The sequence below is a fragment of the Homo sapiens genome, chromosome 9 (assembly GCF_000001405.40).
Source record: "Homo sapiens chromosome 9, GRCh38.p14 Primary Assembly".
Taxonomy (NCBI): domain Eukaryota; kingdom Metazoa; phylum Chordata; class Mammalia; order Primates; family Hominidae; genus Homo; species Homo sapiens.
The window spans coordinates 18,364,684-18,379,929 of record NC_000009.12 but is presented as its reverse complement, the minus strand read 5'-3'; the positions used below and the strand labels follow the sequence as shown (position 1 = coordinate 18,379,929).

The 15,246-nt window shown below is 39.2% G+C and overlaps 1 protein-coding gene and 1 long non-coding RNA gene across 12 annotated transcripts in view, besides 1 other annotated feature; both read right to left on the bottom strand.

The window, feature by feature from the left end:
* The window catches only part of ADAMTSL1 (ADAMTS like 1), a 1,004,318-nt gene that overhangs the window by 531,021 nt on the left and 458,051 nt on the right, over positions 1–15,246 (bottom strand). The gene's annotated exons all lie outside the window — the stretch shown is intronic.
* LOC107986990 (uncharacterized) overlaps positions 1–15,246 on the bottom strand; it is a 39,734-nt gene that overhangs the window by 4,261 nt on the left and 20,227 nt on the right. The window lies entirely within an intron of this gene.
* Positions 12,785–13,286: an enhancer, noted in NCBI's record as "NANOG hESC enhancer chr9:18366642-18367143 (GRCh37/hg19 assembly coordinates)". NCBI's record gives its function as "activates a minimal SCP1, AML or CMV promoter by ChIP-STARR-seq in naive H9 embryonic stem cells {active_cell/tissue: H9 hESC(naive)}" and the evidence as "EXISTENCE:reporter gene assay evidence [ECO:0000049][PMID:30033119]".

Below are 15,246 nucleotides of genomic sequence, written 5' to 3'. Positions count from 1 at the left end.
ACAGGAAGGGGGGCTTTAATGAAAGCCTTTAATCCCCGATGGGAGGATGGAGTAAAGGAAATGGCCCAAGAATGTAAAAATGGGAAATGCTGCTCATTTCTTAATTTACTCACTCACTTTTACACCTTCTTACAGTAATTGTGCCTTTTCTTTTTTGTTCTATGACATAGTTTATGTTTTTTCTTTCATCTCATAGTCATCATTTTTCTATTTTATGCTCTCATCCGGTATAAAACCAGTTTTTCTTTTTTCCTTTTCCCAAACTTTAAAGACAGCCTGGAGAGCCTTCGTCAGCCCAATCAGCTTCCTCTCCCAGGCTATCCATGCCTGTCCTGGTCCTTCAGCTCATTCCCATTGTCAAAAGACAAAACAACAACAAATTTAGTTACAGATCTAATTGTCTATCATTTGTAATTCATGAATCTGGCAGCTTCCATTCTACAAAATAGAATGAGAGCCCCCACTGGGCAATAGCAAAAACAGTGGATTTTGTAAGGTGGGAACAAGGAAACTGAACAATAGGGGAAAAAAAAGCTGACTGCTTAATATCAGGTTACTTCAACTTACATTTTTGCAAGGGTTAGAGCAGAGGGGATTTCCTCATTACCCTGACTCAGGTAGATTGGAATCTCTCGATCTCACAAAAAACTAGTCTGTTTTGAAATCCATCTGTTTCCTTAGAGTTTCTGTTTGATGATGTGGCGTTTAGCATGAGTGACTCCATTTGGTTTGGTCTGGTCTGTTGGGGCCTAGTGCAGAAGCTTTGTCCAAAACGATGGCCTCCTATAATTTTTGTTTAACACCTTCTAGCCCCTCACCTTGGTGACTACCCTTCTTACTTTCAGAAGATGACACTGCCTCCTTCCTTACAGAAAAAAGTAGAGGCTCCCTCATGTTTCTGACTCCTTCGTGAGTATCTGATATTCTACTTACTTTTTCTTGCTTCTGTCTGGTTTCAGATGACCAAGTATCCTGCAGCCCAAAGCTAATTCTTCATCTGGATTCTCAACCCTATCCCTTCCAAGGACGTTACTCTATCAATTATGTTTATTCCCTATCCCTGTCTTGATCCCATTAACCTTTGTAATGAAAAACAAACAAACAAACAAACAACAACAAAAAACTACTTATTGATATGGGACTGGTCAGAGGATGACATGACCAGAGAGGAAGAAGCAGCCAAGGAATGAAAGAAAAAAGAGATGAACTTAATGTACATAGTAAGGATCTAAAGTGGGCATCATGAGAGCCAGAAAAGAGAAGGAAGAAGGAGGGAAAGCTGATAAGGGTAGGTAGAGGAGGAGAAAGGCTTGTTCTGAAGAGGGTGAGGTGTGAGAAATGGGATATTGCCAGGGGAATTATTTGGATCTACTTCAGCATCATGGAAGAGACATCAGCAAAGACATTTTTCTGTTTGGATGTGCTTCTCAAGTTAATATCTTAAGTTGATATATCTCATCTTTAAAATAGAAATAAAACAAGTAAGCAAAATTAAAAAGACCTCTCAATCCTATATCCCTCCCTGGCTTAGTGCCAAGACTCTTGAAAGATTTTCTTTATTCAAGGTCTCTACTTGCTTACTCTCATTACACTTTAGAAAAATAACTCAAAATAGCTACCATTTATTGAGTGTTTACTATGTGCCAGACACCTGAGCTTCACATACACTATTTCCGTTAGTCCTCAAATAACAATCCTTGCATTTTAATTTGGTTAAAGCCTTATTTCCTAGGTCAAAGGCAGAACTAGAAGCAGGTCCCTTGTCCTCAGAGCCATGAGATATGAGTTAACAAAAGCGATCTTAATTCCTCCTCTCGCCACCCTTTTACACAGAAGAGAAAGAAAGGGAAGAAAGAAGATGCCTTTTCCCAGAGAAGAATCAAGTTCTCATCATCGGGGGCTCATCGAAGGTGAAGTGCCAAAACGCTGGCACCCCAGCAGCTTTCAGGGTGCTGAGAAACACATTGCCCACTTGAGGTTATGAGTATAGAGACAGAATTGAGGGGGAGGGAGTCTATGTCCACTAGGCCTTTCCAAATATATTTATAAAAGTTAATCTCTCAGCCAGGCATGGTGACTCATGCCTGTAATCCCAGCACTTTGGGAGGCTGAGGTGGGCGGATCACCTGAGGTCAGGAGTTCAAGACCAGCCTGGCCAACATGGTGAAATCCTGTCTCTACTAAAAATACAAAAAATTAACCGGGCGTGGTGGCACGCGACTGTATTCCCAGCTACTTGGGAGGCTCAGGCAGAATTGCTTGAACCCAGGAAATGGAGGTTGCAGTGAGCCAAAATGGCGCCACTGCACTCTAGCCTGGGTGACAGAGTGAGACTCTGTCTCAGAAACAAAAACAAAACAACAACAAAAAAGTGAATCTTTCACAATTCAAATGTAGTCCTGTTGCACAAACTGAAATTCCCTCCTGATGAATTTATACTTAGAAATGCCAACGTCTGCATTGCATTTAATGAATTTAAGTTAAACAATGATTTAAGTTTTCACAGTCACTCTTGAAAAAATTAAGATCTCGATATCTGGATGTAGACAATAATTCTACTATCAGAAAGAATGCTTTAAACAAAATATAATATTCACTGAGTGCCTACTATAGCCAGACACTATTCTATGCACTTACGCAGTTCTCATAACAAACTTAAGCAAGAGGTGCAATTACATTATCCTCATTTACAGATTAGAAGTCCATAGAGAAGTTAAATAACTTCCTTGAGTTTACACAGCTAGTAAATGACGCGAGAGGGCTTGAACCCATATAATCCAATTTCAGAGCCCATGGTCTTAACCGTTGTCTCAAACTTCTTCTCAGTCTATATTCATAAAGTCAAATTCAATAAATTTGAAGAAAACTCTATCAGGCTCTACCTGTGAGAATTTCGAGGATTTGTTTTCACAAACTGGTTGCTCTGCTCTTGAATCAAAATGAAATTTCTATGATAATGTTTGATAAGCAACATGTATAAAAATAAAGATTTAAATAAAAACGTATTTTATTTTAAATAACTATTTGTAAGGGTATTTGCAATGGCATATAGACATGTGGTCAATCAAATAGTGTAAGTTTTCTTGACTATCTGAACAAACATCAACATTAAGTCTTTTTTTTTGAGACAGTGTCTCTTTCTGTCGCCCAGGCTGGAGTGCAGTGATGCGATCTTGGCTCACTGCAACCTCTGCCTCCTGGGTTCAAGTGATTCTCCAGCCTCAGCCTCCCAGGTAGTTGGGATTACAGGTGGGTTCCACCATGCTCAGCTAATTTTTGTATTTTTTAGTAGAGATGGGGTTTCACCATGTTGACCAGGCTTGTCTCGAACTCCTGACCTCAGGTGATCCACCCACCTCGGCCTCCCAAAGTGCTAGGATTACAGGCATGAGCCACCGCCCCGGGCCCTAAGTCTTTTATTTCTATTACATCTGCTTTCTGTGTTGAAGGTGAACAGCTGTTTGCAATTCTGTTTCTTCTTCTTCAGTATCTCTCAAGTTATTCTTCTCTCTTCATTCCCTCAATTCACTGCTTTCAGGTTCTCTCTCCACCCTCTCACCTCTCACCCTCACCCATGTTATCTGTGACAGCCCTTGACATTTCCTTGCAATCTTGCATTATACATATCTGTGTACATATCTTATCTTTCCTATTAGAACCATGTTCTTAATAAATATTTTTGAATGAGTGAATGTTTATAAACTCTAAGGCTTACAAGAAATATCTTAAAATTCTGTTTATGATTATTTTACTTTGGGAAATGAGAGCAAAAGGAATGTATTATTTACTGCATGGGAAGTTTCTGCAGAATATTATTTCTGGAACAGAAGAAGTGAAAGGTGAAGCCAGCTGGACTTCTGGGTCGGGTGGGGACTTGGAGAACTTTTCTGTTTTACAAGAGGATTGTAAAATGCACCAATCAGCACTCTGTAGCTAGGATTGTAAAATGCACCAATCAGCACTCTGTGGCTAGCTAGAGGTTTGTAAAATGGACCAATCAGTGCTCTGTAAAAACACACCAATCAGCACTCTGTGGCTAGCTAGAGGTTTGTAAAATGGACCAATCAGCAGTCTGTAAAATGGACCAATCAGCACTCTGTAAAATGGGCCAATCGGCAGGACATGGGCAGGGACAAAAAAGGGAATAAAAGCTGGCCACCAGCCAGCAGTGGCAACCCGCTGGGGTCCCCTTCCATGCTATGGGAGGTTTGTTCTTTCACTCTCCACAATAAACCTTGCTGCTGCTCACTCTTTGGGTCCACACCACCTTTATGAGCTGTAACACTCACCGTGAAGGTCCACGGCTTCATTCCTGAAGTCAGCGAGACCACAAACTCACCGGAAGGAACCAACTCCAGACACAGAAGGAGGAGTCATACTAAATATGTTGTGAAGTTAGTACATTTTTGTTTGATCGTGTATAATGAATTTAAAATAAACTTGTATTTGTCAGCACAAATCAGACAAAAAAAATGATGTACCTTTACATACTTCTATATTTTGTCTACCTAAGGCAGGTAAAGCCCAAAAACCTGAACGTTGTGCACATGTACCCTAGAACTTAAAGTATAATATAAAATAAATAAAATAAAAAAAATAGCAATTAGCCCACCAGTAATCAGTTACAGGATATGACTGAGGTAATAATCCATAGAAAAACAATGACTGGCTCTTTCCTCTAATGTAACAGCCTTAGAATAAATGAACCAGTAAGGGCTATTCTCTATCAGAATAGTTCATTTCTCCTAATGCGGAACTGAGGAAGAGCTCCATGAGTTGTCTCAGCTCTGGTCAGGAGTGAGTGTACTATGGCTGGCACATTCTTCTTGTCTATATGATGGGTATCTGGTGATCCAGGCTGATCCCTTTACTTTGAAGTGAGCAAGATGTTTCCCAGTGCCCTGAAAGCTACCGAAGGTACCCATGCCAGTGACAGGTATCTAGGAAACAATTGACAGGTATCTAGAGTATTCAAATCATAGTCCCAAAAGACTGACTATTATTAACCATTGTCAGCTCCATTCATCCAAGGGGGATAATCCCCCAGCAGTTGAACATCTAGCCCTGGCATAAGTGATGTGAAAATGGAGAGGGGTGGTTGATAGGTGACTGATACTATTTTCTTCTTTAGTGCATCTAATAAATGGACAAGCCTACTGCTTTTTAAAACCATTAGGTCATGTAGACAGGTGAGGCTGAATAGAATCCCACTCATTTGTACAATGCGTTTGCTTTAAGGAGTAAGTGTGTTTTGTAGGTGAAACAGGAATAATGTTTAAAAAAGAAAAATCTGTCAGGCCAAGCGTGGTAACTCATGCTTGTAATCCTAGCATTTTGGGAGGCTGAGACAGGAGGATTACTTGAGCCCAGGAGTTAAGAGACCAGCCTGGGCAACATGGCAAAAACCTATCTCTCCAACAAATACAAAAATTAGCCAGGTGAGGTGGTGCAAATCTGTATTCCCAGCTACTTGGAGGCTGAGGTTGGGGGATCGCTCAAGCCTGAGAAATTAAGGCTGCAGACAGTGGTGACTGCACCACTGTACAATTGCTGGGTGACAGAGTGAGACCCCATCCCAAAAAATAAAAAAAAAATTAAAAAAAATTAAATAAATATAAATAAAATAAAATATCTGTCAATGCATAGTCCCCTATTGGTAAGTCAGTATCTCTCTTTCAGAACTGCACCTTTCTTTACGGCTCCAAGGAAGGACCAGGGCAAATGCTAGGGCAAAAAAGAGTAGGCATTAGCAAAGGTAAGGGGTTCCAAATCTGTGCTGCCTATTAGGCTCATTTGGATAGCTTTTAAAATTGCTGATGCCCAGGCCATACACAAGTCCAATTAAGTCAGAATCTCCTTGGGTAAGGCTGGTTGTTTATGATTTTGAAACTCCTCAGGTGATTCTGAGGTGTAGCAGAAAGCTCCCCAGATGGAAAGTTCCTAGCCCAGTTCCTAGTCTATGATAACTGCCCAATACATGCTGGCTACTATCATCCCTTTCAGGACTTGGAGATTATGGGGAGCTGGGGACAGTGGTAGGAGATACAGGTGGGGAGATATGTGTGTCATGGCATTCCCTATTGCTCCTAGTAGCTAGGTGAAAATCCTAGAGGGAGAATGCTATGGGTAGCAGGAAAGACCAAAGTAGGGAGATTTTGCCCTGTTTGTAACTTGGCACTCTAGAATGGGACAACGCTATGTCCTTTGTATTAGCCTGGGGAATGTGCAGCTGAGTAAACTCTTTGGTGTGGCATGGTTAGGCTGCTGGATGTTGGCAGTGGTGTCAAGTGTAGATCTCCAAAATCTCCGTTGGGTTTAGAAGAGCCCCTGTTGGCAGATAATGGAAGGTATTACTACCCCAGAGGACAATGGGAGAGGAGAATCAGTTTGCAAATTTATGACTCCTAACTTCCGAGGGCAGAGCCAAACCAATCTGCATCCAGATGCCACCTTAGGAAGAAAAAAAGGGAGAAAAGATGATATGAAAAGATTGTTGTAAACCAAAAGATGACTGGAATATTATAAGGCGCTACCCATCCAGCAGAGTGGTTGGCTTATAATCAGGATTAAGTAATTTCATTAAATGATGCCACATTTTTTTCACATTTATAAATAGGTTAAATTCCAGATGACCTCACAGAAAAGTGGAAAGCTCTTTGGCTTGTGATCAGCCTAGAATAAATTCTCAATAAATGTCAGCTGGGACAATTAATTCATAGGTTATTTTGTGACATAAGGATTAACGATCAGACTTCTGGGGACTGAGAAGGTCAACTAAGAGTAATTAAATCATAGAGTTGGATGGGAATAGACTCCAGAAATAATCCAACTTAAACCTATAATTTTAGAAATTATAGCAGGAAGTTCCAAAAGGTAAGGGATTCCCTAAGGATCATGCGGCTAGCCTCCTTCAGGCTTTCCCTGATACCAGCCTCACTCTCACTTTAGGAGTTATAATATGCCCAGGACAGAATCTTCTTTATGGTGTGGCTTCAGCCCAAGCATTGTGAATAAGTGAGGAAGTGAGATGATTCCATAGTTTGTTGCTTTGTCCCATTTAGTGTTATTTTTGCTATGGTTATTATTTTATTATGATTTGTCCCATATTTCAATCTGGAATCAGGAAGTGGTTAGGTATACAGAAAGCATATATTTTAGAGAGCCCCACATGTAACCAAAGCCTTCATTACTGTATTATCTCTACGATAGATGGGAGCAAGCCTTCAATTAAGAGCCAAACCAAAAGACCCTGATGATAGAGCTTAGCGATTATGTATTTTTATAATGTTGGTGAACACACATTAAATTTAGGAAAAATTAGACTTGTGAAATTTGGAATTTGGTTGTGTAGTAATGGAAAGAGCCTGAACTAGGGGTCTGAAGACCTCAGTTCAAGCCCATTATTAAGACCTTGGGGAAGCCTCTGTCCCCTCCTTCTCCCTTAGTTTTTGATCTGCTATGAAATGTAGATGATTCTTTCTGTACTTCTCATAAGGTGGTCATGGCAATCAAATGAGATAGTTATCTTAAAGGTCTTTGTAAACTGCAAAGTGCTGTTCCCATTATTCCAAAAGAATCCCAGTCACGGCATGCGATTACCTTTCTGGTTACTCATTCGTATCCTTCCCCAGGCCTCTCTTCTCCAAACCCTAATGAAGACATTTATTGATTTTCTTGCTGGTACTACCTAGACCTGAGAGCTGCATTTTCTAAGTCAGTTTCTAGGTTACTTTGTTATGTATTCCCTCTTGTTTTAAGTGCTGTACGGTAGACAAATTTTATTTTGCTACCTCTAAGCTCTCAGATTTTGCTCTCTAAATCAGTCATTGAGGAAGTGCAGTTGAAGGATTTGCTATTGACTTTCAAGTCTCTTTGTTATTCAAGCCAAATCTTGTATTAATTAAAAATTTCTGTTGTCTGGAATGCAAAATTTATTTTATAATAAAACAGGCTATTTTGCCTGTGTTAGAATTACCTGGAACATTATCCCCATTGTGGTGCCTGATGGTGAGAAAGCACGTTCAGAGATCTAACATCAGAGCTGAGCCCAGAGCCCTTGTAGGGAAGAAACTTCGTTTTATTTATGTAACATATCTACCCTTCAAGCTCTCTGGGTTTTGTCAAAAGCCACATCTGGCAGCAGAGAGAGATTCTAAACTAGAATAAGATTTGCCTCCTCACATCCTAATGCCCACATTTATTTGTGATTGTGAAATGCATTTTCCAAAATTCATCATAAAAATTCATCATAAAAAAAGTTGATAAATTTTTAGGGGCATGTATTTCATGCTTCTAAAACCCTATTCGATATAACTTTACTATCCTTTTGTGTTTAACAATATATGTTCAAAGAAATACATAAACCTATCACAATAATAAAACTATTATGCTTTAGCAAACATATATTTATAAAGAAATAAAAATACCCAGTAAACCTAAGTGTAACAACTCAGATAATATCAGATTCCATTAAAAAGAAAGACCTCCCTCTTGTGTCTAGTGTGTTTTTAAGGTTTGGCAATATATGCAGCTTGCAATGTGATATAAGTTTCAGATGTACTCCACCCTTATTAAAATACCAAACTGCAGGAGACAGACACTTGGTGTTTTATCAGAATGTATTATTCTAATGATGGAATGCATGATAGCTATGCTGAACTTTATATCAAAAAGCAAACTTGATTCAAGATCTTTAAACCAGGTCAGAGTAGATAATGCATATACACACATATGGCTCAAAAAACAAAGCATCAGAACATGAATAAAAATTGTATAAGTATTACAAAAACTAAGGACTTATTCTATCTGAATCCATGTATTACTTAAAGCAAGAATTTAGTTTTTAAATTGAGATATGTTGTTACTCAAATATAGCAATTAAAAAAATAATTGGATATGAAGGTCACAAGAATTCCAATAAAAAGCTTTTACTCTCTTAAACAATGGCTTTCAAGGCAGCGTCTTGTAACAATCAGACCAAAAGGCAATATAATTTAAAATGACTACATCTAGAATATTTATACATCAACACTTCCCTCAATTTGTATGCTAATTTATAATTTGAGATGAACACCTGGGATTATGTACCTCAATTTCTCTATCTGAAAAAAAGCAAGGGTAATATCAATTGTGTTCATCTACATCCAATTAGTTAGAAAGTTGTGCCTGGCTCATAATTGGCATTGCTGGAATGATAGGAAAGAGCTGTGCTTTCTTTCTTAAAAAAAAAAAAAAAAAAGACGCTCTACAAACATACCTTATTTATGTATGAAATACACACACAACCCAAAAGGGGACATACTGCTTAGATATATAAGTAATGATAAATAAAATGAAGGCTATAACAATTTCTGTTACCAACGCTATCAATACAAATATGAACAGCTATCATTTATTGAGCCATTGGCGTGCATGAGGCACCCTGCTAAGTGCTTTACGTAGGTTGTGTCATTTTAAAACAAAAATTTTTATTATGGATTCGGGGGGGGTACATATGCAGGTTTTCATACGGATATGTTGTGTAATGGTGAGGTTTGGGCTTCTAGTAACCCATCACTCAAATAGTGAAGAGTGTACCTAACAGGTAATTTTTCAACCCTCATCCATTCTCCTCCCCTTTGGAGTCCCCAGTGCCTCTTTTTTTTTTTTTGAGATGGAGTCTTGCTCTTGTTGCCCAGGCTGGAGTGCAATGGTGTGATCTCAGCTCACTGCAACCTCCGCCTCCTGGGTTCAAGTGACTTTCCTGCCTCAGCCTCCCAAGTAGCTGGGATTACAGGCACGCACCATCACATCCAGCTAATTTTTGTATTTTTAGTAGAGACAGGTTTTCACCATGTTGGCCAGGCTGGTCTCAAACTCCTCATCTCAGGTGATCCACCAGCCTCGGCCTCCCAAAGTGCTGGGATTACAGACATGAGCCACCACGTCCAGCCCCCAGTATCTATTATTTTCATCTTTATGTCCATGTGTACACATTGTTTGGCTCCCACTTATAAGTGAGAACATTTAGTATTTGATTTTCTGTATTTGAGTTATTTCACTTAGGTTAATGGCCTCCAGGTAATGATAAGACAAGCAAAATGTTGCTGCAAAAGACAGTTTCATTCTTCCTTACGGCTGCATAGTATCCATGGTGTATAGATACCGCATTGTCTTCTTCCAGGCATCCATTGATGGACACTTAGGTTGATTCCATGACTCTGCTATTGTGAATAGTGCTGTAATAAATATACAAGCATGGGTATTTTTTGATACAATATTGTATCTTTTTGATACAATAATTTCTTTTCCTTTGAGTAGATACACAGTAGTAGGATAGATGGGTCTAATGGTAGTTCTATTTTTAGTTCTTTAGGGAATCTTTATCCTGTTTCCCATAGTGGTTATACTAATTTACATTCCCACCAATGTGTATAAGCATTCTCTTTTTTCTGCATCCTAACCAACACTTGTTGTTTTTTGACTTTTTAATAACAGCCCTTCTGACTGATGTGAGATGGTAGCTCATTGTGGTTTTAATTTGCATTTCTCTGATGATTAGTGATATTGAACACTTTATCATATTTTCTTGGCCACTTGAATTAACAACAATCATATGATATAGATACAATTGTGATATCCATTTTACAGACAAGAAAACTAAGATTTAGTAAGGCTAATTAATTTGCTTGAGATCTCACAACTAGAGAGCTGTGAGGTCGAGTTGTGAGTTCAACTAAAGAACTCTAATTCAAGAGCCTATGCTATATCTAGTGAAGTATGAGCTTTTCTTAAAACATGAAATCTCTTTTAAAAAGGATTACATTAGCCAACTTTTTTTCTATATAAACTATAGTTAATAGATCAGTTTCAATACTACCCTATAACATTACACAGTTCCAGTTCCTTTCATTGACATATTTAGACACATCTGCAAGTGAAGAACAGTAACTCTAGAATGGAATCCTCATTCTGGGTATAAACAAAGTTAATCAGGAGGCAAAGTATAAAGAACACATATCAGTTTGAACCATCTGTGAACTACCATGTTTTATACTTTCCTCACAAAATCCTGGAGAAAATAGTAGTGCCCTAAAATCTCAGTGGTGATTATTTTTTCATTACTTGATGTCTACAATTTTTACATATCTGCAGTAAATGAATGTTACTGAAATGATCATAACATGGGCTTATAAACTGATCAAACATATTCACCATCCAGGATGATGGTTCTAACCTCACCACAGAAGGCAGCATGTGATACAATTGTGATTGCCCATTAAAAATAACATAAAAAACTTTAAAGGCAGCATGTGAGCATAAAGAATGCAGGCAAACTTTGGAGGCAGACTATTCTACACTCCAATCCTGCCACTACTGTCTAAGAGTTGTGAGACACTGGGCAAATCACTTGCCCTCTTTGAGTCAATTTCCTCTTCTGTAAGATGGTGACAAAAAAATCTGTCTAAATAAAATATGCAGGAAAATGGCCGTACATGCTGTACTTATGCAACAAGTATGAGTTCTACTGCCTTTTGTCCCAGTCATGGACCGCAGGCATCTCTACAAAGGCATGCCCTGTTACCACAGCAGTCAGCATGGGAGCATCACTCTGGTACAGCAGTGTGTTTTAACATGTGCTCATGGTGAAAGTCGTGTAGTGGCAATAAAAGGTTAACTGATGTTTCATATTGATGAGGCCAGAAAGCATGTGATACACTTTTAAAAGACTCCCTCAGCCAGGCGCGGTGGCTCACGCCTGTAATCGCAGCACTTTGGGAGGCCAAGGCAGGCGGATCACGAGGTCAGGAGATGGAGACCATCCTGGCGAAAACGGCGAAACCCCATCTCTATTAAAAATAAAAAAAAATTAAAAAAAAAAAAATTAGCCTGGCGTGGTGGCGGGCGCCTGTAGTCCCAGCTACTCAGGGGGCTGAGGCAGGAGAATGGCGTGAACCCGGGAGGCGGAGCTTGTAGTGAGCCGAGATCGCGCCACTGCACTCCAGCCTGGGCGACAGAGCGAGACTCCGTCTCAAAAAATAAAATAAAATAAAATAAAAATAAAAATAAATACAAGACTCCTTCATCTTCAGAGCTATGTCTGACTGCCCACCTGCCCGCCCATCCATCCACCCATCCGTTGCCTGGATTCAAAACCTGGCTCTGACACTGAATGTGTAACTCTGTGCCGATAAATGTGTAATTCTGTGCCTAAAAGTTACTTAGTCTCTTTGTTCCTAACTTTCCGCCACTGTTCAAAATGGTGATAATAATAGTATGTAGCTCATAAAGTTATTTTGAGGGTTGAATTAGAATATGTAAAGTGCTTAGAACAACAGTGGCTAGTACCTCATAGCTATCATATATATATATTTATACATAGTATATTAAATTATTTCTATTATCAGTGTCTTAAAATAGTATTAGAGATTCAAAAACAGACTTAGAAGTTTTGGCTTTCCCAGTTTCACAGCTAGCAAATGGCAACCCTAGGGCTTAGACCCAGGAAGATATTTTCATGCCATAATTCCATTTCTTTCCATTATGTCATGAAATGTCCCTGAAAAAAAAAAAAATCTTATCTTCTGTTATCTAAAAGATTCACTTATCTGAAATATTTTAATTCCAGTAACTAAATTCTTATGGTCCATTATAAGTGAAAAAGCATAAATTTCATGCATTCCTGGGAATTGTATCTTAGATTTGTTTTAAATAAAACCTTATATTTACATGTGTCTTGTCACAGTTATTTTTTGGCTATAACCTTTGTCAACTTGGACATTGCTAGGAACCATTAAATGGGCAGATTACTTTGGTAGGTGGAAAAATACACGTTTTCTAGGTAGTGTAGAAAAAACAGAGTTAAAGAAGAAAAAGGCAGCAAGAGCAGTTGATATGAGGAAATGTTACTATTTAAATACTTGGCGAGCTCAGGGGAGGGGAAATGAATTTGCCTTGAATGAGAATGCACTTTAATGAGACAAAAAGAGTAAGAGATAAGTATTTATTTTCATATTCTTTTCACTTTAAATGGTTGGTGATGGGGCTGCATGTGGCGGCTCATGCCAGTACTCCCAGCACTGTGGGAGGCCAAGGCAGGTGGATTACCTGAGGTCAGGAGTTTGAGACCAGCCTGGCCATTGGTGTCTCTACTAAAAATACAAAAATTAGCCGGGAATGGTGGCAGGTACCTGTAATCCCAGCTACTCGGGAGGCAGAGGTTGCAGTGAGCTGAGATGGTGCCACTGCACTCCAGCCTGGGTGACAGACTGAGACTCTGTCTTAAAAAAAAAAAAAAAAAAAAAAAAAAAAAAAAAAAAAAAATTAGTGATTTCAGAGGCACTATCCATTTAAATAATAGTGTTTTTGTTGGAAAAGAAAATAATATTAACATACCACAATGAATATACAGGCTGATTATGAAATGCCACCAACTTTCCAAAGAGGTTTTATGATATAAAAACCTGTGTGTCCCAAAAATGAGAAAGCAGTATATGATGATGCTTACAAATGTACACATAAATGAGGATTATAGTATATGGGACAAATGAAAGAAAGGGGAACAGAAACAGGGTAAAAATAACCCAAGGCACACGAGGTAGCACCGAGATGACTTCAGCCATATGTATATAAGGAAGCTGATGCACGCTCAATCTTTTTCTGCTATGAAAAACTTGTATAAGCAAATACAAACACAAAAAAGAAAGGCTGTATAGACCATATAAATTCATATGGGTTTATGTGCATAAACCCATATAAATTGAACTGCCTTGTTTATGTTTCGTTGCATTCAAAGGAACCTCACTCCAGCACCCAAAAATAAATAAAAAGTAGATTATATCATTATTACTATTTCTCAAAAAAAAAGCCAAAGGGAGATTACACTCAAAATACAGTGGTCCCCAACCTTTTTGTCACCAGAGACTGGTTTCGTGAAAGACAATTTTTCCATGGACAGGGCAGGCGAGAGGTTTGGGAATGAAACTGTTCCATCTCAAATCATCAGGCATTAGATTCTCATAAGGAGCACACAACCCAGCTCCCTCCCATGTGCAGTTCACAATAGGGTTCACACTCCTGTAAGAATCTGATGCCACTGCTGATCTGACAGCAGGCGGAACTCAGGCAGTAATTCTGGCTCCCCAGCTGCTCCCCTCCTGTTTTGTGGCCCAGTTCCTAACAGGCCACAGATAGGTACCAGTCCACAGCCCGGGGGATGGACACCCCTGCCGTAAATCGTGCTCCCCCATTTTCTTTCTCTCACACTCTTTTCCCTTTTCCACTTTAGGATCTCCCAATTTTTCCCTTCAATTCACCCTAGCCTAAAAAACTGCTCTTGTTCCTCTTTCCCTTTTCTTCTAATTCCTGCTTTTATTTGCTTATTACTGTGGAATTGCCATATATCCAAAGAATATATATGATGTGCATGACAGTCTGAATAAAGTTTTAAAAAATGAACACCTGTGTACCTTCCTTCAGCCTCAGAGTCCTCTCTACTCTGAGGTATCTACTATACTGAATTTTGTGTTAATCAATCCTTTGCTTTGTTGATTTTTTTACATATAGTTTTTCTACATATGAATGCATCTCTAAAGAGTGTGCTGCTTTTGAATTGTTATTAATGGAAACATACTTGGTATAAGTATCTGTTACTTCCCTTTTATTCCTGGATGTTTTTGATGATGTCGATAAGTACATCTATAATTCACTAATTTGTATGGGCTTCAATGGTAAGTATTCCATTGAAAATACATGCTACAATTTGCTTATCTAGTCTACTATTGGTGGAAATTTAGGTTGGTTATGGTTTGGAGCTACTAAGAAAGTTGCTGCTGTGAATATTCTTGTACATTATCTCCGGGAGCATATGCCAGACCCTATATAGGGTACATTATCTGGGTCATAGGATATGGGCACTGATATGGTTTGGTTCTGTGTCCCCACTCAATCTCATGTCAAATTGTAATCCCCGGTGTTGGAGGTGGGGCCTGGTGGGAGGTTATTGGATCATGGGGGCGGAGTTCTGATGAATGGTTTAGTACCCGCTTTGGTACTGCATAGTGAGTTATTGTGAGGTCTGGTTGTTCAAAAGTGTGTGGCACCTCCCCACTCCCTCTCTCCCTCCTGCTCCAGCCATGTGTGACCTGCCTGTTTGCCCTTCACCTTCCCCCATGATTGTAACTTTCCTGAGGCCTCCCAAGACGCAGAAGCTAGTATGCTTCTTGTACAGCCTGCAGAACTGTGAGCCAATTAAACCTCTTTTCTTTA